Source organism: Homo sapiens, chromosome 7, assembly GCF_000001405.40.
Source record: "Homo sapiens chromosome 7, GRCh38.p14 Primary Assembly".
NCBI classification, from domain to species: domain Eukaryota; kingdom Metazoa; phylum Chordata; class Mammalia; order Primates; family Hominidae; genus Homo; species Homo sapiens.
The window spans coordinates 121239763-121263023 of record NC_000007.14 but is presented as its reverse complement, the minus strand read 5'-3'; the positions used below and the strand labels follow the sequence as shown (position 1 = coordinate 121263023).

The window sequence follows — 23261 nt, the reverse complement described above, 5'->3', positions numbered from 1 at the left end:
ATGTTATTCTAGTGCCTTTCCATTCATGAAAGATGGAAATAATAAAGTATAACTATAATGAAAATTCAGTTGTAATTTTAAGATTGATTGTTCTGTTGGAAAAGCAATTTTTGTAAGAGATTGATATTTCTAACTAAAAGATGTCTAACTTCAAAATGTCAGCTTTTTAATGTGCATATCACACAATTTGAAAATACTGTCAGGAATTAAAGAGTGATTTGTTTCAGTTATATGATTCCTATTCAACCTCTATATATTTTAGGCCATTCAGTTTGGTAGATTTTTAAAAAGGAAATTTGCAGATTATTTGTTTTGAGGAAGAACTTCTGTTTTAAAAAGCCTAGATTATCATAACAAATATTTATGACTAGGCATACAATTTATAAATAATTCTTTCTCTCCCCTGTGAAAATTACTGCCTTACATTAGCATGCATGGTTATTTTTTCTCTTTTGGATAAGCAAAGAGAAAAAATGTGATGTGGTTTTAAACACAAAGACATGTTTAGAAGAGTTTTGCATCTATTCTACTCCCATGACTCTGCATGCAGTGTGAGCTACCACAGAGTATACAGGAATTGGTATTTTTCCCATTCCTTTTCATAGCATCATGAACTGTAGGACTTAAAAGGAGGTACTATTCCTAGGCTCTACAAAAGCTTGAAGCTTGTTTTAAAATTGTTACATTAGTCTGTCTTGCATCACTATAAAAGAATGCCTGAGCCTGGGTAATTTATGAAGATAAAAGATTTATTTGGCTCACAGTTCTGCAGGCTATACAAGCATGGCACCAGCATCTGCTCGAGTCCTGGTGAGGTCTCAGGAAGCCTTTACTCATGGAGGAAGGTGAAGAGGGAGGAGGCACGTCACAGGGCAAGAGAGGGAGCAGGAGACATGCCAGGCTCTTTTAAATGACCAGCTTTCATGTGAACTAACAAGCAAGAACTCATTAATTACTGTGAGTAATTACTGTGGGGAAGGCACCAAGCTATTCATGAAGGATCCATCCCCATGACCCAAACAACTTCCAATAGGTCCCACTTCCAACATTGGGGATCACATTTCAACATGAGACTTGGAGGAAACAAACATCCAAACTATATCAATAGGCTTATTATAAAATGGTTTAATTATCTTTGTTTTTATTTCCAGTTTCTTGGTTGCATAGTCCCTGTATTAGGTGAGATAAGCTAAGCACTGTAACAGATAGCCCAAAAAACTTGGAATAGGTCAAACCCAATTAAAGTTTATTACTCTCTCAGAAAAATAGTCCAGGTGATTCAAGTCAGGTTTATGTGCAGGGGTGGGGCAGGGAGGTCATTTAGGGTCCCAGGATGACTGGATTGTGTCTTCAATTACGGCTTCTAGGAACTCTCTGGACATCGACACCCAACTGAAGGAAGGAAAAAAGAAGCTGTCAGGTTTTCTATGGGCCAGCGCTGGAAGCTGGTCACATCATTCCTGATCATATTCCACTGGTTAGAACTCAGTCTCATGGCCAAATACCTAATGTCAGGAGACACTGAGAAATATAGTCAAGTTGTGTGCTATGGAGAAGAGAAACTGACTTTGATGACTGCTTAGTTATTCTCTACTACATTCTCTTACATGCTAAGTCTTCCTGGGGAAAAACTAAACCCTCTGTTCAGATTTTTCCACCTATGAACTAGCAGAAGTGGGAAGTATGTGAAAGGCTACATTTTACTTTGTGTGATGCCTGAAAGGTCTTCTATTTTGAGAAGCTGGTTTTCTGAGATGAATAATATCAAGAAATATTTATTGGTAAAAATACAAGCAAGACTTTGGGAACTTTTAATTTAAATGTACAATGAAATGATTTTTATCTCATTTTGTTTCTTCATGAAGGGAACTAACAATGATAATACTTAGACTTTTAAATATTTTAATCCATAACCTCTTTACTCCAGCATCACCAAAAGTAACCAGGACATAGTTAAAGAATCAAGTTGGAAATAAAAGGAGATTTGGTGGCTATCTAGGTTGAATCAATACAAAGGTAGTATAACTCGTTAGCTTCTCAGAGTCTTCTGATCTGTTGCGGCAGGAAGAGAATTGGATACATGTAGTATTAATAGATAAGAAAAGAAAAAGAAAAAAAATTAAAATCATTTTCCTTTTTCCTTTCTTTCCTCCTGCATCACATCAGTTTTATCGTCAATATTTACAGAAGTGGTAGCTTTTCTCTGGATCCAATAAAGTGCACGTAGATTTCAACACAAGACTGAGCCTAGTTAACAGGAACCCACTAGAACCTTCCCAAAGGGGAAGTTATATAGGAGTGCAGTAAGAGCTAATTGTCCATGAATCCAGGTAATGCCTGTTTACTGGAGAGCTTTCACATTGCTATAGATAAGGGAAATAAAAGTGAGGTAAGGAGGAGTCTTATTTGTTACATCTAGGTCCAGAGCCAAGCATAACCCACATATTTAGAAAGCTCTACAGTGATACTGATGAGCCCTAAGGTCGAAAACCACTGATCTCCTAAGATAAACATGCATTTCTAAATGATGAAAGGGGTGGTTCAGTTGTAATATGAAGCTGAGACTGGTCAGACGGCTAATGATATTTAGGTCATGATGAAAAACTAGCTCAACAAAGCATCCCTCTGTGAAATGTGATGCGGTTACAATAAATGTTTTCCAATTGTGCATTTTAATTAAGTTGGATGTAGATGAGCAGCCAAATTGATGTTTGCAGTCAAAAACAAATATAAGATTGACACTTAGGCAAATCACTCTCAGACATAAAATTTGGCAAAAAAAAAAAAAAAAAAAAAAAAACGCGAAGCAAGCAACTCTACAACATCACCTAGGCATAGCTCTTCTAGCTGCTTGGAACAAAATTATTTGTCTACATTGCCATTATCTCTGGATTGTTGTAGTATTTATTGAATGCGAAGGAGGGCATCATGTGTAAGTCATCATTTCCTGGTAAGAGTGAGGTGCACTCTTTCCTTATATCTGACTGATTTACTGAAACTGACAGGCAATAATGAATTACGTAACCATAATGGAATTCACATATTAGTCAGAACATATTATTTTAAATTAGCCACACTTTGAAAATTTAAACACCTTTAAGTCCAAGACACTACTTAACATGAAAACATTACTTAAAAATTTAAGTTACATTCCCTGTTTTAACAGCTGAGTTTAAGTACTTTTTGTAAATATTGCCTTTTTATATTTCCCTTTCTTAATTGCACCCTCCTCTCAGATATTTTATTACTGGCTTAAATTCTGAACTGTTTTCCACTGACAAACAAAATAAAGGCTTGTTTAATTCAGTTAGGTCAGGCTTCTAAGTTTTTGCAGTTGTAAATTTGATTGTCATATTTCTAAACTATTTCCTACATATTTTACCCTGTGATTACAAAATTATGTTCTCATAATTTCTATGTGTTCCATTCAGCATTTATAAAGAGGTAGGTATCTATTTAAAGAAATGTGTGAACATATCATTTAATACATAGCTTGCTTTTTTTCAATTGATTTTCCTTTAATTCAACACAATTGTATATCACAAAACCTATGTACATATACAAAAACTTGTAAGTGAAATAAATCTATAAATGAAATTATTTGGATACATTTAGAGTTCAAAAGTGTCCTATATTCACCTAATGTTCAGAGGGGGAAAACTTGTTCCAACTTTCCACCCAAGATCAGCCTCCTGTTCATGTTGCTGCAATGAAGACAAATGACTGAGGTATATGAAGTATGATCCTGCTCACAGGCCATTAAGTGTGGTTAGATTCCTGGTCAAAATTACTAGAAGCTTGAGCACCTTTTCAGATCTCCACTGATTTGTGTCTTGTTCCTTCCCTATAGGCAGGTGGGCTTCTATTTGCAAGTACAGTCTTGGCATTCATCAATGTACAACAGTAGGAAAAAGATATAAAAGGTCACAATAACAACATAAGGAAATTCAGCTGAGAGAAATTACTACTTAGAGATTCTAAAGAAAGCAGAGCACTATTTGAAGGCCTAACTTTCTAATAGTTCTCAATGCCCTGGCCAAATTCCATTGCCTTTTAATTCAATTCTTCAGAGAGAGACAATTCACTTTAATATGTTCCCAAAGTAGAAGCTTGCTGTGATGTGATTAGCATTGAAAATAAAGTTTTTGTAGCACAATATTTTGAACTATTTATTCCTGGCAACAGTGAAACTTCTGGATTCTCACTGTTAAAAATTCGAATTTTACATATTAATTGAAAGTCTTCAGGAAGGCAACTATATTGTTAAAACTGTGTATTTAGGTACGTACACAATTTTACATAATCCAAGATATGTGAACTGGAGCACACTGAAGTGGGAACCTCAGAATCTTCTCTAGTGCCTTCTCATAGGTAGTTCCTGCCTTCTTAGCACTCCATTGTCTGTTCCTCCAGTAGAAAGCAAATCAAAGACAGCAGCATAAGGCTTGAGTGATAGGATTCTCAGAGTAGATGCTTTTGCAAAAAATAAATATCCGTATTTTTCTAGTTCAATTAACTTCTTTCAAAGTAATGTGACTCATAGATTGCCTTTCACTGCAAACACCACTCTGCCTAGGCAATTTTCTTCTGGCAACTTTTCTAGATCTTTCCAGGCTGGATCCAGTGCCCACCTCTACTTTCTACTATTGCAATTATTGTGCTATATTGCAATGATTGTTTCTCTCATTTGTCTTCTTCCACTAGAAACTGAGCACCTTGAAGGATCATATATGTGCTCCTGGAACAGATATTTGGTTCAACAAACATTGAATGAATGAACAACATAATATCAAAAAAGTTGTAAAAAGTATTCAGAAGTTAACTTTTTAAGTGTTCAGCTGGACTCTACTCTGTGGTAACATATTAGGGTAACTGATATTGCAACATTGCTGATATGGGGCAGCACAGTTAATCTGATGAGTTTAATATCTAAAAGAATCATTTCATCTGGTGGGATCAGAACTGTAGCTTAGGCTTCCTGATTGCCAGCCTGAGACTTTTCCTACTCCATTAATGTCCTGCTGTCCTTATGTATATGTGGAAGAAATTTCTGTATAATGTTGCTCAAATAATGTTACTTTCATTGAATATATAACATGGTAGGAAGAGAGGTAAAAAAGGTCAGTATATAATGTGTATAGAAAACAAAATATATTAGTTGTATTTCTATTTTTGTAACTGTTATGCTTTAACATTTATTTGTCTTTGGAATGGGTTGGAGATTATAGAACATTCTGGGTAGGATGAGAACTTATTTGTCTTAGTAATGAAAGAGAAAAATTACAGGATTGTTTTGTATATTTTTATCATTCTCATGGAAAGTAAGAAATAGATGTACCGGGAAAACCCTTTGCTCACCTACTCCTATTCATAAGTGAAGCTTTCTTAAAATAAGTGCTAGTCATAGTTGTATTTGTGAATGTTTACGCAATTATCTCTGTGTTGTGTGAAATATGAGTGTATACACCTGACTGTTTTTGGCTAACTCCTGTGATTCTGAATAAAAAAAAAATATCTTTCTCAGGCTCTCCCCTCTGCATTTCCACTGCCTCTGCCTTGGTTCTAATTTATACAACCTTTTCAAATACAGACTTTTAGATTAAGAAAACAGTGCTCACACACTGTAAAAATGAAAATCATACAGAAATATTTAAAAATATCTCTTCATGCTTAACCAACTATGCTTTACCACCCAAGCTGGCTTCATGGGCATGTGACCTGGACGGTCTTGCAGGGCCACATGCTTTGAAGGGTCTTGTGCTTGGTTCATTGCTCTTCTATTGTCTTTTTTTCCCCAAACTTCAACTTTTATTGCAGATATGGCGTATGTGTGCAGGTTTGCTGCATGAGTATATTGCATGATGCTGAGGTTTGAGATATGGATCCTGCTATGCAGATAGTGAGCACAGTACCCAATAGGTAATTTTTCTACCTATAGCCCCTCCCTTTCGTCCCCAGTAGTCTGTAGCATCTATTGTTCCCATGTTTATGTCCATGTCTGCTTAATGTTTAGCTCTCACTTACAAGTGAGAAAATGTAGTATTTTATTTTCTGTTCCTGTGTTAATTTGCTTAGAATTATGGCCTCCAGCTGCATTCATGTTTCTGCAAAGGATGCGATTTTGCTCTTTTTATGACTGTGTAGTATTCCATGGAATGTATATATGTACCACATTTTCTTTATCCAGTTCACCATTGAAGGGCACCTAGGTTGATTCCATGTCTTTGCTATTGTGAATAGTGTGGTGATGAACATACGAGTGCATGCGTCTTTTTGGCAGAACAATTTATTTCCTTTGGGAAGGAAATAAATAAATAAATATACCCAGTAATGGGTTTGCTGGGTCAAATAATAGCTCAGTTTTAAGTTCTTTGAGAAATCTCCAAACTGCTTTCCACAGTGGCTGAACTAATTAACATTCCCACCAACAGTGTATAAGTGTTCTTTTTGCTCTGCAGCCTCTCCAGCATCCGTTGTTTTTTGACTTTTCAGTAATAGCCATTCTGACTGGTATGAAATGGTATCTTATTGCTGTTTTCTTTTAGGATTTTTATAGCTTGAGGTCTTACATTTAAATCTTTAATACATCTTGAAATAATTTTTGTATATGGTGAAAAGTAAGGGTCCGGTTTCATTCTTCTGCATATGTCTAGCCAGTTATCCCAGCACCATTTATTGAATAAAGAGCCTTTCACCATTGCTTGCTTTCACTGGCCTTGTTGAAGATCAGATGGTTGTAGATATGCAGCTTTATCTCTGAGTTTTCTATTCTGTTCCACTTGTCTATGTGTCTGGTTTTGAGTCAGTACCATGTTGTTTTGGTTATTGCAGCTTTATAGTATAGTTTGAAGTTGGGTAGTTATGTCTTTGGCATAAGCTTTGTTTTTTTTTTTTGTTTTGTTTTTTTTTTTTGCTTAGGATTGCTTTAACTATTAGGGCTCTTTTTTGGTCCCATATGAATGTTAGAATAGTTTTTCCCAGTCTATGAAAAGTGACATTGGTAGTTTGATAGGAAGAGCATTGAATCTGTAATTTCTTTGGGCAGTATGGCCATTTTAACAATATTAATTATTCCAATCCATGAACATGTAAGGTTTTTCCATTTATTTATGTCATCTCTGATTTTTTCAGCAGTATTTTGAAGTTATCCTCATAGAGATCTTTCACCACCTTGCTTATCTGTATTCCTAGGTATTTCATTTTCATTGTGGCTATTGTAAATGGGATTGTGTTCTTGATTTGACTCTCAGCCTGGACATTATTGGTGTATAGAAATGCTACTGAGTTTTGTACATTGATTTTGTATCCTAAAACTTCACTAAAATTGTTTATTAGTTCTAAGAGCCTTTTGGCATTCTCTAGGGTTTTCTAGGTATAGAATCATATCGTTAACAAAGAGAGTTAGTTTGACTTTTTTTCCTATTTTGATGCCATTTATTTCTTTCTCTGCCTGATTGCTCTGGCTAGAACTTCCAGTACTATGTTGAATAGGAGTGGTAAGAGTAGGTATACCTGTTTTGTTCCAGTCCTCAAGGGGAACAGTGCCAGTTTTTGCCCATTCCATATGATGTTAGCTGTGGGTTTGTCATAGATGGCTCTTATTATTTTGAAGTATGTTCTTTCAATTGATGCCTAGTTTGTTGAGAGTTTTTTATCATGAAGGAATGTTGAAATTTATAAGAAGCTTTTTCTATATGTATTGAGATGATTATGTGACTTTTTGCTTTCATTCTTTTTATGTGGTGAATCACATTTACTGATTTGCATACATTGAATCAGCCTTCCATCCCAGGAATAATGCCTACTTGGTTGTAGTGTATTAATCTTTTGATGTGTTGCTGAATTCGGTTTGCTAGTATTTGGTTGAGAATCTTTGCATCTATGTTCATCAGGCAAACTGGGCTGAAGTTTTCTATTTTCATTGTGTCTCTGCCAGATTTTGGTATCAGGCTGATGCTAACTTCATAGAATGAGTTAAGGAGGAATCCCTCCTCTTTGATTTTTTGGGATAGTTTCAGTAGCATTGGTACCAATTCTTTTTTGTACATCTGGTAGAATTTGGCTGTGAATCCATCTGGGTCAGGTCTTGTTTTGATTGGTATGTTTTTTTTTTTAATTACTGATTCAATTTCAGAGCTCAATATTGGTCTATTCAAAATTTTGATCTCTTCCTTTTCAATTTTGGGAGTTTGTGTGTTTTTAGGAATTTATCCATTTCCTCTAGATTTTCTAATTTGTGTGCAAAGAGTTATTCATAGTATTCTCTGAGGATCTTTTGTATGCTGTGGAATCAGTTGTAATATCATCTTTGTCATTTATGATTGTACTTATTTGGATCTCTCTTTTTTGTTGTTGTTAATCTAGTTAGTCTATCAGTCTTACTTATCTTTTTGAAGAACCGACTTCTGTTTTCACTGATCTTTTGTAAGGATTTTTACATCTCTGTTTTGTTCAGTTCTTCTCTAACATTAGTTATTTATTTTTTTCTGCTAGGTTTTGGCTTAGTTTGTTCTCTTTTTTCTAATTCCTTTTGGTGGAAACTTATATTGTTGATTTGAGACCTCTCTTACTTTTTGAGGAAGGTGGTTAGTGCTATAAACTGTCCTCTTAACACAACTTTAGTTGTATTCCAGAGATTTTGGTAATTGAGTTGCTATTTTTATTAATTTCAAACAAATTTTAAATTTATGCCTTAATTTCATTCTTCTCCCAAAAGTTATTCAGGAGCAAGTTGTTTAATATTCATGTATTTGAGTAGATTTAAGGGATCTTCTTGATATTGATTTCTGTTTTTATTGTACTGTGGTGTGAGAATGTGCTTTGTATGATTTAATTTTTTGGAATCTGTTGAGATTTGCTTTATGTTCAAGCATGTATTCAATCTTAGAATATGTTCTGTGTGTAGATGAGAAGACTATATATTCTGTGGTTGTTGGGTGGAGCGTTCTGTAGGTGTTTATTAGGTCCAATTGGTCAAGTGATTTTAAGTCCAGAGTTTCTTTGTTAGTTTCCTGCCTTGAAGGTCTGTCTAATGCTGTCAGTGGGGTGTTAAAGTCTCCCACTATTATTGTGTCTAAATCTGTTCATAGGCCAACAAGAACGTGTTTTATGAATCTAGGTGCTTCAATATTTGGTGTATAAATATTTAAGATAGTTAAATCTCCTTGTTGGATTTACTCTTTATTATTATATAATACCTTTCTTTGTCCTTCTTAATTTGTATTGGTTTAAAGTCTATTTTATCTGATATAAAATAGCAACTCCTGCTCTTTTTTGTTTGTATGGTATAACTTTCTTCATCCCTTTACTTTGAGCTTGTGGGTGTTCTTACATCAAGATGGGTCTCTTGAAGACAGAAAATGGTTGAGTCTTATCTTTTTACCCAGATTGCTACTCTGTGCATTTAAAATATGTCATTTAGCCCATTTACATTTAGGGTTAGTATTGATATGTGAGATTTTGATCCTGTCATCATTTTATTAGCTGGTTGTTATGTAGACTAGATTGTGTAATTGCTTTACAGTGCCAGTGAGCTATGTTCCTTTTTTTTATTTTATTATTATTATACTTTAAGTTTTAGGGTACATGTGCACACCATGCAGGTTTGTTACATATGTATACATGTGCCATGTTGGTGTGCTGCACCCATTAACTCGTCATTTAGAATTAGGTATATCTCCTAATGCTATCCCTCCCCCCACCCCCCACCCCACAACCGTCCTCGGTGTGTGATGTTCCCCTTCCTGTGTCCATATGTTCTCATGGTTCAATTCCCACCTATGAGTGAGAACATGAGGTGTTTGGTTTTTTGTCCTTGTGATAGTTTGCTGAGAATGATGGTTTCCAGCTTCATCCATGTCCCTACAAAGGACATGAACTCATCATTTTTTATGGCTGCATCATATTCCATGGTGTATATGTGCCACATTTTCTTAATCCAGTCTATCATTGTTGGACATTTGGCTTGGTTCCAAGTCTTTGCTATTGTGAATAGTGCCGCAATAAACATACGTGTGCATGTGTCTTTATAGCAGCATGATTTATAATCCTCTGGGTATATACCCAGTAATGGGATGGCTGGGTCAAATGCTATTTCTAGTTGTAGATCCCTGAGGAATTGCCACACCAACTTCCACAATGGTTGAACTAGTTTACAGTCCCACCAACAGTGTAAAAGTGTTCCTATTTCTCCACATCCTCTCCAGCCTGTTGTTTCCTGAGTTTTTAATGATCACCATTCTAACTGGTGTGAGATGCTATCTCACTGTGGTTTTGATTTGCATTTCTCTGATGGCCAGTGATGATGAGCATTTTTTCGTGTGTTTTTTGGCTGCATAAATGTCTTCTTTTGAGAAGTGTCTGTTCATATCCTTTGCCCACTTTTTGATCGGGTTGTTTTTTTCTGGTAAATTTGTTTGAGTTCATTGTAGATTCTGGATATTAGCCCTTTGTCAGATGAGTAGGTTGCGAAAATTTTCTCCCATTTTGTAGGTTGCCTGTTCACTCTGATGGTAGTTTCTTTTGCTGTGCAGAAGCTCTTTAGTTTAATTAGATCCCATTTGTCAATTTTGGCTTTTGTTGCCATTGCTTTTGGTGTTTTAGACATGAAGTCCTTGCCGATGTCTATGTCCTGAATGGTATTGCCTAGGTTTTCTTCTAGGGTTTCTTCTGTGGTTTTAGGTCTAACATGTAAGTCTTTAATCCATCTTGAATTAATTTTTGTATAAGGGGTAAGGAAGGGATCCAGTTTCAGCTTTCTACATATGGCTAGCCAGTTTTCCCAGTATCATTTATTAAATAGGGAATCCTTTCCCCATTGCTTGTTTTTGTCAGGTTTGTCAAAGATCAGATAGTTGTAGATATGCGGCGTTATTTCTGAGGGCTCTGTTCTGTTCCATTGGTCTATATCTCTGTTTTGGTACCAGTACCATGCTGTTTTGGTTACTGTAGCCTTGTAGTATAGTTTGAAGTCAGGTAGCGTGATGCCTCCAGCTTTGTTCTTTTGGCTTAGGATTGACTTGGCAATGCGGGCTCTTTTTTGGTTCCATATGAACTTTAAAGTAGTTTTTTCCAATTCTTTGAAGAAAGTCATTGGTAGCTTGATGGGGATGGCATTGAATCTGTAAATTACCTTGGGCAGTATGGCCATTTTCACAATATTGATTCTTCCTACCCATGAGCATGGAATGTTTTTCCATTTGTTTGTATCCTCTTTTATTTCCTTGAGCAGTGGTTTGTAGTTCTCCTTGAAGAGGTCCTTCACATCCCTTTAAGTTGGATTCCTAGGTATTTTATTCTCTTTGAAGCAATTGTGAATGGGAATTCACTCATGATTTGGCTCTGTTTGTCTGTTATTGGTGTACGAGAATGTTTGTGATTTTTGCACATTGATTTTGTATCCTGAGACTTTGCTGTAGTTGCTTATCAGCTTAAGGAGATTTTGGGCTGAGACAATTGGGTTTTCTAGATATACAATCATGTCACCTGCAAACAGGGACAATTTGACTTCCTCTTTTCCTAATTGAATGCCCTTTATTTCCTTCTCCTGCCTGATTGCCCTGGCCAGAACTTCCAACACTATGTTGAATAGGAGTGGTGAGAGAGGGCATCCCTGTCTTGTGCCAGTTTTCAAAGGGAATGCTTCCAGTTTTTGTCCATTCAGTATGATATTGGCTGTGGGTTTGTCATAGATAGCTGTTATTGTTTTGAGATACGTCCCATCAATACCTAATTTATTGAGAGTTTTTAGCATGAAGGGTTGTTGAATTTTGTCAAAGGCCTTTTCTGCATCTATTGAGATAATCATGTGGTTTTTGTCTTTGGTTCTGTTTATATGCTGGATTATGTTTATTGATTTTCATATGTTGAACCAGCCTTGCATCCCAGGGATGAAGCCCACTTGATCATGGTGGATAAGTTTTTTGATGTGTTGCTGGATTCGGTTTGCCAGTATTTTATTGAGGATTTTTGCATCAATGTTCATCAAGGATATTGGTCTAAAATTCTCTTTTTTTGTTGTGTCTCTGCCAGGCCAGTATCAGGATGATGCTGGCCTCATAAAATGAGTTAGGGAGGATTCCCTTTTTTTCTATTGATTGGAATAATTTCAGAAGGAATGGTACCAGCTCCTCCTTGTACCTTGGGTAGAATTTTGCTGTGAATCCATCTGTCTTGGACTTTTTTTGGTTGGTAAGCTATTAATTATTGCCTCAATTTCAGATCCTGTTATTGGTCTATTCAGAGATTCAACTTCTTCCTGGTTTAGTCTTGGGAGGGTGTATGTGTTGAGGAATTTATCCATTTCTTCTAGATTTTCTAGTTTATTTGCATAGAGGTGTTTATAGTATTCTCTGATGGTAGTTTGTATTTCTGTGGGATCGATGGTGATATCCCGTTTGTCATTTTTTATTGCATCTATTTGATTCTTCTTTCTTTTCTTATTAGTCTTGCTAGCGGTCTATCAATTTTGTTGATCTTTTCAAAAAACCAGCTCCTGGATTCACTGATTTTTTGAAGGGTTTTTTGTGTCTCTATTTCCTTCAGTTCTGCTCTGATCTTAGTTATTTCTTGCCTTCTGCTAGCTTTTGAATGTGTTTGCTCTTGCTTCTCTAGTTCTTTTAATTGTGATGTTAGGGTGTCAATTTTAGATCTTTCCTGCTTTCTCTTGTGGGCATTTAGTGCTATAAATTTCCCTCTACACACTGCTTTGAATGTGTCCCAGAGATTCTGGTATGTTGTGTCTTTGTTCTCGTTGGTTTCAAAGAACATCTTTATTTCTGCCTTCATTTCGTTATGTACCCAGTAGTTATTCAGGAGCAGGTTGTTCAGTTTCCATGTAGTTGAGCAGTTTTGAGTGAGTTTCTTAATCCTGAGTTCTAGTTTGATTGCAGTGTGGTCTGAGAGACAGTTTGTTATAATTTATGTTCTTTTACATTTGCTGAGGAGTGCTTTACTTCCAACTATGTGGTCAATTTTGGAATAGGTATGGTGTGGTGCTGAAAAGAATGTATATTCTGTTGATTTGGGGTGGAGAGTTCTGTAGACGTCTATTAGTTCCGCTTGGTGCAGAGCTGAGTTCAATTCCTGGATATCCTTGTTAACTTTCTGTCTTGTTGATCTGTCTAATGTTGACAGTGGGGTGTTAAATTCTCCCATTATTATTGTGTGGGAGTCTAAGTCTCTTTATAGGTCACTAAGGACTTGCTTTATGAATCTGGGTACTCCTGTATTGGGTGCATATATATTTAGGATAGTTAGTTCTTCTTGTTGAATTGATCCCTTTACCATTATGTAATGGCCTTCTTGTGGTAGCAGGTGCTGATCTTTTAATTCCATGTTCAGCACTCCCTTAAGGACCTCTTGTAATGCTGGTGGTCTATTTGAAACAAATTCCCTCAGTGTTTGCTTATCTGAGAATGATTTTATTTCTCCTTCACTTATAAAGTTTATTTTAGTGGGATATAAAATTATTGGTTGGAATTTCTTTTCTTTAAAGATGCTAGAAATAGGCCCCTAATCTCTGGCTTGTAAGGTTTCTGCTGAAAGGTCTGCTGCCAGCCTAATGTGGTTCCCTCTGTATGAGACTTGACCCTTCTCTCTAGCAAGCTGCCTTTAAAATTTTTTCTTTTATATTGATCTTGGTGAATCTGATGAGTATGTTCTTTGGGGATGGTCATTTCATATAGCATATAGCTGGAGTTCTCCATGTTTTTTGAATGTGCATGTTAACCTCTTTCATGAGATTAGGGAAATTTTCATGAACTATATCATCAAATGTATTTTCTAAGTTGTCTATTATCTCTCCCCTCTCAGGAATGCCAATGAGTTGCAGATTTGTTCTGTTTATATAATCTCATATTTCTTGGAGTTTTTGTTTAATTTTTTCAAGTACTTTTTTCTTTATTCTTGTTTGAGTTGATTCAAAGAACCCGTTTTTGAGTTTGGAGAGTCTTTCCTCAGCCTGGTCTATTCTGCTGCTAATACTTCTGATTGTATTATGAAATTCTTACAGTGAATTTTTTCAAGTCTAGAAGTTAAATTTGAATCTTTCTCAAAATGGCTATTTCATCTTTGAACTCTTGAATCATTTTATGGATTTCTTGGATTGAGTTTCAACTTTCTGTTGAATCTTGATGAGTTTCTTTGACATCCATATTCTGAATTCTATGTCTATCATTTCAGTCATTTTATACTGATTAAGAAACATGGCTGAGAAGCTAGTGGACTCATTTGGAGGTAAGAGAACACTCTAGTTTTTAAATTGCCAGAATTCTTAGGCTGATTCTTTCTTATTTGGGAGAGTTAGTGTTCCTTTAAATGTGGTGTGAGTTGAGTATAGTCACTTGGCTTTATTTCTGGATGTTTTCAAAGGGCAAGGCTCTGTACGGCATCTTTATTTGTGGCTTAATGCTTTTTTTTTTTTTTTTTTTGTTTCACAGGGTGCTGCTATATTAGCAAAATCTTTTTGGTGTGGCAGTTTGGGCTATGATCCAGTAGATGGCATATAAAAGTAATATGTGTTAGGCCCTTACTCAGCCACAGGGCTCCTCTGTATTTATTCAAGTTTGCAGCCATGCTCTGTAGTATGGTGGGGAGAGAGGTCACCTCCTCTCATTAGTCCTGCTCCTACATCTTTGGGGAGCCCCCTTTAATCACTGGTACTGTGTCTGCATTTCTTTTGTTAGGTGATCCAAGCTGTGGGGCTCCCTGAACAGAGGCTCCGGCAAGGAGATAGGCCACATTCTTTCCAGGCTGGTCCTGTGGAGGGAGGCATGGCTTGCTCCTGTTCCAGCCCATGAAACCACACATGTCATCCCTCTTAGTGCTCTGAGAATGTGGGTTTGTTTCCCACTTGAGTGCTGGCCACATATCCTGGCTCAGCACTCTTGAGCTGCACACTGCAGCCTTGGGCACCAGGATCAGCTAGTGGCTCTATCCTTTGAACCCTTGGAGTTAGGTTTCAGGTGCGCTAGGGGATCTAAAGTGCTCCCAGGCCATCAGGAACATAATCAGGTGGAGCAAAGCATCCAGCTGTGCAGTGGAGGCTGCTGTGCACATGCTCCTGCAGAGAAGCCAGGCAGGGTGGGCAGGAGGGTCTGCAGAACAGATATGCCCCAGTCCTGTGGGGAAGTTGGCCCTATTTTCTTCTGGCTAAGCAGTAGGCTGGGGATAAAACTTCTTGGAGGGAGATAGGGAAACTTGGGGGATGGGTGCCTATAGCCAGAGATGGGTTCCGCCAGAGATGTGTTGTGCACTAAGGCCCCTGTTTCTGCACTGGCTCAGGTACCATCTATGTCTACTCTCTGGACAGATTCCCCTGTCAGCTCAAATGTCCGTGGGGTATGTTGGGTCCCCTGTAGCCAGGAATCCAGAAGTCCACAGCAAGTGTGGGTAGTCCCACAGTTCCTTCACTCATCTATTCCCCGGGACCCATTCAGGGCTGGGAACTAGCCCCAGTGTTTGGGTACCCTGGACAGGGTTACCAGCCTCCTCCCTCCTCAGCCTTAGCATCTGTGTTGCCATCTGCTTTTGGCGTTTTCTCTCCAAAGATCTGTCCAAATGTTGGTTTACTTGAAACCTTGATCTCTCTCAGGCATTTCTTGGCTATGTCACTGGCCCTCTTGTTCACCTTTTGTTCTACTATTGTCTTGAAACTCTTAATAAATTTTGAACACAGGATCCTGTATTTTTATTTTGCACCCTGCCCCTCTCCCACTCCTCTCCCCCTATCAAATTACTCTTAACTGTTTGTTACTTCAAGAAATTCTCTATGCATGTAAACATGTTTGTAGGTATGCGTTGGATTTTACATCAACGGGATTATTCTGGATATAGTCTATAATTGCTTTGCCTCCTCAATTATGCATGTTGGAATTTTCCCATTACACAGCCTCTGCCTCCCTAGCATCTATTTTTTATTACCCCTAAAGAGCCTCCATGCTGCTGCGGCATGGCCTTTCTAATGCTGGTTGTGCCACTTCTCTGTTAAAAATGGATAATGCTTGCCTTTTGCATATAGAATAAATTAGCGTCTTGATAAATACATCAGTCTATGTAGACCTATTGGCAGTGTGTTGGCAAATTTGAATTTCTGAGCATGCAAGTTCTGAAGAACACCTGCAAACTAGGAGAGTCACAAAGATAAGCCCTTTTGCTGTGCAGCAAGCTAACTGGTCTTCTGAAGTCTCATTTAAGCACGGACTTTTATTTTCAAATTTTGCAATACCCTCTCTCATTAACAGGTATGAACAATGATCTTTTTTTTTTAACCACTACTTTGTAGAGTCATTAATAATCAGCCTAGAAATTAGTAAAGATAATGTTGTGGGCTGAAAGTTTATGTTTCCTCCAAATGCATATGTTGAAACACTAATCTCCAATGTGATGCTATTAGGAGGTAGAGGTCTTTGGGAGGTCATTACGTTTAGATAAGGTCATAATGATAGAGGCTTCATGATGGGATTAGTTTCCTTATAAGAGTCAGGGACTAAAACTCTTTCTCTCTCTTTGCTGTGTGATGACAAAGCAAGAAGGCAGTCAACAGAAGCCAGGAAGAGGGCTATCCCAAGAACCTGACCATACTGACACCTTGATCTAGGACTCCGTAGCCTCCAGAACTGTGAGAAATAAGTGTCTGGTCTTTAAGCCACCCAGTCTATTGTATGTTATTATAGCAGCTCGAGCTAAGACAAACAGGGAAGAGGGCCTTTAGCTTTTTACAAAGTTGATTCATCTACCACAGAGGGTTATTTTACAGATGAAGAAAATGAGCCTGAGAAACAAGACGTGTCGTGTCCAAAACCGTAGGATTTAGTGATGAACTTAAATGAACATCTACTGCTTTTCAGGTTAATAGACTGTGACAGTTTCTTGGAATTTTTCTGAACACCCTAAATTCTGAGGTCAGAATGGTATTCTGAGCTTAGAGAAGTCTGGCTGTGTGGCAACAGCTATTGTCATTGCTCCCAGTGCAACATTTATAGGATATGGAGGCTGGATTATCCAAGGTGATGGTTTAAAATGCCTGTGGAGGGCTGGGCATGGTGGCTCACACCTGTAATCCCAGCACTTAGGGAGGCCGAGGCGGGTGGATCACTTGAGGTCAGGAGTTCGAGACCAGCCCTGGCCAACATAGTGAAACCCCGTCTCTACTATAATTACAAAAAATTAGCCAGGCGTGGTGGCAGGCGCCTGTAATCCCAGCTACTCGGGAGGCTGAGGCAGGAGACGCGCTTGAACCTAGGAGGTGGAGGTTGCATTGAGCTGAGATCACGCCATTGCACTCCAGCCTGGGTGACAGTGTGAGACAAAAAAAAAAAAAATGCCTGTGGAGTAGCCACACCCATACATGTATGATCATCAGTGAATTACTCAATCTCTCTGAGCTTTACTTATCTTAAGCAGAAAAAAGATATGATAATATCTACCTTAGCTGCAATTAGGAATAAATACACTTTTAATTTATTCATTTACTTGATAAATATTTATTAAGTTACTATTCTGCGTCAAAAATTATGCTCAACAATGAGATTATGGCGGTGGATTAAACACATTCCCTGCCCTTTTGAAGCTTACAGTCTGGTGGGATTTAAAGTGTAACAAATTTAGCAAGAAACACAGTTTCTTGCACAAAATCAATGCTCAATTAATAACACTGCAACATAAGTTCCTAAATGATTTTCTTCCCTTCTTTTTTTAAAAAAAGGAACTAACACTACTGATTGATCTTTAGAGACATTCTCAATCATGAAAATTGGAACATTTATATTGAAATCACCATGAAGAAGATGTCCATCTTTCTGTCCTGCCCCTCAGCTCCTGTTATTCTTCTTTAACTATTTGCTAGTAAATTGGCATACCTTCTGCCCAGGCCTTTTTTTCTATGTGTTTTAATAGAGCTTTGTGAAAATCAGCTTTTGAAATCAGTCTTGCTCATGTGTGAGAGCTTACAAACTGTATAAGGAAATGTCCATCTAATAAAAAGCACTTTGAAAATTGGGTTAAGGATTACTTACTTGATGTTAACCAAGCATCTCAGTCTATGTGCCCATTTTGCATATCCGAGAGTTCTGCCAGACTCTACCTAGTCAGAGCATGCCTAGCAAGAAGACACTGCATGTCCCAGAAATCAGCTTAGAAGCCTCACTAAAGGAAAAATCAGCCTAGTGAGGTCCATGTGAGACCTGCCCAGGAATATGAAAGAAGATCAGTAAGGTTAGTGCGTAAAAACAATCCCATGCACTTGGAAAGCTCTAGAAGTGAGTCTCACATGCAGGACCTTTTGATTTCCTGTGCTGAGCTGCAGATGTCTGTTTTCACAGCAGTGCCTGCCAGAGCTGCAGTTGACAAGGCCAGCTGCTCTCAACTGCCAACTGTCAGTTGACGTGGCAAGCTCCTACCAATTTGTGCTGAGAAAACAGCATGGAATCGGGTCAGCATAGGACAAGACTTTAATATCCTCCATCTGTCAAACAGAGTTACTTGGAGAAAACTGAACATTTGGAGCGGGAATTGTTCAGGCTATTCTATGATAACATCTATACATGATTCAAAAAGCCATATTGCATTCAGTTAGTTTTCCTCTGCTGTGAGACAGCAGGAATTGGTCTAGTAGATACAACTATACGATTTTTAGTACTTCAGGTGGCATACATTAAAGGCTTCCCCCACTAGATCCAGAACCTACCTTCCTTCCTCCCAGGCACTGCTGGAGTTGAGGCTTAGTTAGGACACCATATTGGCAGTTGTGGGGCTGCCAGGTTATTTCTCTCCAGTCACACGTCCTGTTGTCCGAACAACTAAGGCAAGGCACAATCCACTGGCCTGGAATAGATGGCAAAACTTTCTTTGGTTCTGTTTCTGCTGGTGAAGTTTGTAAGTAACTTTAAAATTCAGCTATGGCACACCATTTCAGAAATTATAGTAAGACCATCCTTATCCTTTAAATCTAGTGGAATAATGAAGGCATGGCTTCCTGCCAACCAAATAGAATAGCAACATTAAGTAATGTTCTGAAATAACACATTTCATGCTAAAATCAAGTATGAGCTCTGTTCCATGAAACCTTATACTTATTAAAAATCTAAGTATTACTCAATCATTACCTATTTTTAAACAGTACATTGAACACTTCAGTAAGACCAAAGCATTAATAGACTGGGAGCCCCACAAATTGGCAGTTAGCCTCAAATATTTATTAGCCTAACACATGCATAGGTTCTCTGTCCATAAGTATAATAGATCTATTCCCTGCTCTCAAGGGATTTAAGATACAAGAGAACTACTTCAGTATGATGATAATTTATTATTTTGAAGATTAGTTATTTTTCTTTGATTTGATTGATGGCCTTTTTCGTGTGAATGTCTTCACCTCTTTCTAGCTGTTGCCTGAATTTCTTCATCTGTTAGATGAGGTGTGTACAGTTCTTCTCACATGATTGGTGTAACAATGTAATGGAATAATGTATTTAAGACACATTTGCAATATTGTATTCATCTTTTGTTACTAACAGAGTTCAGGTAGAAAGTAGGTCCCAAGCTTTAGCAAATGTTTATAAAATAAATGAATATTCTCTATGCATTTAAGATCTTTCCTGTTTTACTGATAAAACAACATTCATGCAAAACACTTCAGCTTTTAGTGTGAGTGGATACATTAATAATGTGGTAGAAAAATATAATTTTTTTGTTTTTTTTTCCTTGTTCATCGTTTCAGGAATTGAGTGTGAACATAGCACATCATATGAACAAATATGGAGTGGTTATTTCTCTCCTTGTTGGAGAACATATGCAATTATTTCTCTGATAATCACTCTCCTTACCCTAAATATCTTGCTTATGTTACTAGTATATGTTTACCCTTCAAAACTGAGGAGCTAAATATCACCCAGATAGTTCTTGAGTTAGAAAGGAAAAAACTTAAAAACTTTGTCCATTCTGGCTTTGATTAGTGGTACTGCTAATAATGGTATCTGGTGTTATATTAATTTTAGGGGAAAGGATTTCTGTTTTTAGGAGATGAATATAGTGCATTTTATATTCATGACTTCAGGGATGTTAGAATTGTGAATGTGTTTGTGTATGTGGAAATAGTTATTAATATAAAATATGAAAGATGATATAGTTTATGGCTCTTACTGATTGAACACAGAAAGAGAAAGAAATGTAGGTATATTAAGAGAGAGAAACTGGAAGAGATAAAAGAAAATCGGAGGGAAAGGAGATGAGAAAAGTATGAACTCCAGGAAAGGAAAGAAAATATACAATAACTTTGAGGGGTACAATGTCAACTGGAAGAGAAATACCAAATTTTCAAAAGGAATGCAGAGTCATTTGTTCTTCTTACCACCATTTTTTCCTTTTCTTTGATTTTTACATGTAATGAGGATTACAGAAAACTGCTTTATTAAATGTCTATCTACTAAATACTTTCTATGCAATTTCAGGAATGATAAATTAACCTTTATGTCTCCATATACATATGACTCTCCAGAAGGATTTAAGTTTAATACATTAAGTATATACTCTGTTGAAGTGTTAGGCATTATTGGTGTTAAAATATCATAATAATTTTTAAAGAATAGTTGACATTTTTCAGTACCTCCCAAATGCTAGGAATATTCTGAAAACTTTAATTTATCAACATATTTAAACATCAACAACCCTGTTATCATCTCCTTAACCAGGGCTCAGGAACTTGTCTGAGATCCTCTAGTTAGTAAGTAGTAGAACTAGGATTTGAGCAGGGCAGTCAGCTCCAGAGTCCATGCTCTTAACTATAATGCTAAACCTCAAAAATTTATACTCAGGTTAGAAGATTATAATTTATACGTAATATAGAATAACTATAGCGTAAAAACAAGTAATGCATAATGGAGTAAAAATATCTGTGTGGTAAAGAGTTGGGGCTTTGGAGAGCATGCACACCTGGGCTCTATCTCCAACTGGCCCTGCGGACCTCAACATTGACTACATATTAGAGTCACTTGGAAAGCTTTTAAAAATTCCCACACCCAGATTGTACCCCAGACATTGAATCAGAATCAATGGGGATGGGGCTCAGAAATCAGTATTTTTTAATGCTTCTTTGGTGATTCCAATATGCTGCCAAGGATAAAACTCACTGTTTAAATTAGACAAATTACTTAATCTTTTCATGATTAAATTTACTTCTCCACAAGGAAAATATGTATAACACCTGCCATAGTGCCTGATTACCTAATAGTCAACATATATATTTTATGTATTTTCCCACCTCTACTCTCAGTGAGCCACAATTGTTCCAAATAGAGAAAGAGTCATGGAGGTCAGAGTTTTCTGGAAGGGTCCATGAAGCAGATAATATGTGAACAGGCCTTTAGGGACAGATAAGATTTGAAGACCTGGAAGGAGTGGTACTTTAGGTACAGTGAAGAGATGGGCCTGACAGGAGTGAGCCAGAAGAACTGACTGCATATCTTGGAGAAAACGAGGGTCTGCTATGTGAAAGATGTTTCTAAAGTTTCTGGTTGTAGAGAATGGCCGTACTGCTAAAAGAAACAACAGAAAATTTAGGAGAGATGCTGGTTTTTGAATGGCAAAATAAAGATTATCTTCCTCAAAAGTGCTTATTTTTCCATCCAATTCTGTTTTATAATTTCTTTTTTTTTTTTTTTTTTTTTTTTTTTTTTTTTTTTTTGAGACGGAGTCTCGCTCTGTCGCCCAGGCTGGAGTGCAGTGGCGGGATCTCGGCTCACTGCAAGCTCCGCCTCCCGGGTTCACGCCATTCTCCTGCCTCAGCCTCCCAAGTAGCTGGGACTACAGGCGCCCGCCACTACGCCCGGCTAATTTTTTTTTTTGTATTTTTAGTAGAGACGGGGTTTCACCGTTTTAGCCGGGATGGTCTCGATCTCCTGACCTCGTGATCCGCCCGCCTCGGCCTCCCAAAGTGCTGGGATTACAGGCGTGAGCCACCGCGCCCGGCCTGTTTTATAATTTCTTTTTCATTCAGAATATATCTTGCTTTCTAATTCTAATTCTGTTCTGGCAAGCATGGTTTGTCATTAATAACCAACCTCCTCCACATCTTTGATATAGACACAGCCTAAAGTTTAATCTTTGTTGATGTATTTCTCAAGCAAACCTCCTTAGATAAATGGTAGTCTTTCCTTCACAGAGGTTCACATTGAGTGGCTGTGTAGCATCACGTTGGATGGAGTCAGAAGAGGCCTTAGAGTGTGTCCTTTCTCCCTCCCTTCCCCGTCACTTTTTTTTTTTTTTTAACAGAAGAGGCAATCTGAGGCCCAAAGAGTTAAATAACAGAAGTGGGATCATGCTGTTAATGACAGGGCAGGCCCAGAACTGAGGCCTCTGAGTCTTCAATTTGCCTATCCTTTTATCATATTAGGCTAGGTCACCACAAAATAATCAGCGGAAAATGAAATACAGCCCCACATCCTCTTTGGTAGCACTTATAGGAAAACTCACAAACTGATTGTTATAATGAATTTATTTTAAAAAGCTGAATTTACTTAGCGAGCTCCTGTGTTGACAGAGACTATGTTTAAGCAAAGATTGTTAATTTTCTTTCTAATAGGATAATGATATGTTGAGGGCATAAATGTGTTTCTGCTAATGAGATTCTATTTAATAATCTTTTGAAAGGCTGTTTTCATCAGATCTCAGAATCTCAGAGCATATGCATCCTACCCTTACTCCAGACACTGTACCCCTCAACCTTGCTGACAGCTAATTTTGTAAAAACTGAGGCCCACTTTGGCCACTTGCTGCCAAGGATGAAGAAACAAGTGGCTAATTGCGTGCACAGAGATTCAAATGTGGGTGCAATTAGTTTGTGGACATGAAATCGCATGCACATAAAAAGGAAGCCTGATTGGGTCTCTGAAAACTTGGCCCCAGTGGTTCATACTACTCTATATTTATACAGCCATAACTCTGCATTTTTGCATTGGTTAACAATTCCTTTTATTTATTGTGAGTTAAATACTGCTTGAAATAGGCATCTGTATAACATCTGCAAAACTGGTGCTCTTGACATTTTAAATAATACCAGCTCTTTACTAAAATTGTCCAAAAAAGTACCATAAATTCTATGTTATATATTTGAACACTGAATGAATCAAAGCTGTGATTTCTGAAGTAAAGTGTGACATATGTTTTAGGAAACAACATTCTGAGGAATGAAATTGTCTTTTAGGAGAAGTCATTTGACTTATAATTATAGCTCTATATTTAATGCAAGTTAGATTTCAGCCATTTCAGTG

At 37.4% G+C, this 23261-nt stretch overlaps 1 protein-coding gene and 1 long non-coding RNA gene across 6 annotated transcripts in view; one reads left to right on the top strand and one right to left on the bottom strand.

Annotated features, from left to right (window-relative positions):
* Positions 1–23261, bottom strand: part of CPED1 (cadherin like and PC-esterase domain containing 1) — a 308732-nt gene that overhangs the window by 34419 nt on the left and 251052 nt on the right. For 2 of the 5 annotated variants that reach the window (XM_047420856.1, NM_001105533.1), the window contains 2 exons: positions 18686–18822; positions 1106–1392 (listed from right to left, as the gene is read on the bottom strand). In XM_047420856.1, the coding sequence (XP_047276812.1) occupies positions 1351–1392; positions 18686–18822 (179 nt within the window). In that variant the 3' untranslated portion in view covers positions 1106–1350. Of the gene's footprint in view, positions 1–1105; positions 1393–17463; positions 18183–18685; positions 18823–23261 lie in introns of those variants that run through there. The other 3 variants (NM_024913.5, XM_024446941.2, XM_047420857.1) reach the window with 2 other exon arrangements.
* Positions 1–23261, top strand: part of LOC124901735 (uncharacterized) — a 122886-nt gene that overhangs the window by 3726 nt on the left and 95899 nt on the right. The window lies entirely within an intron of this gene.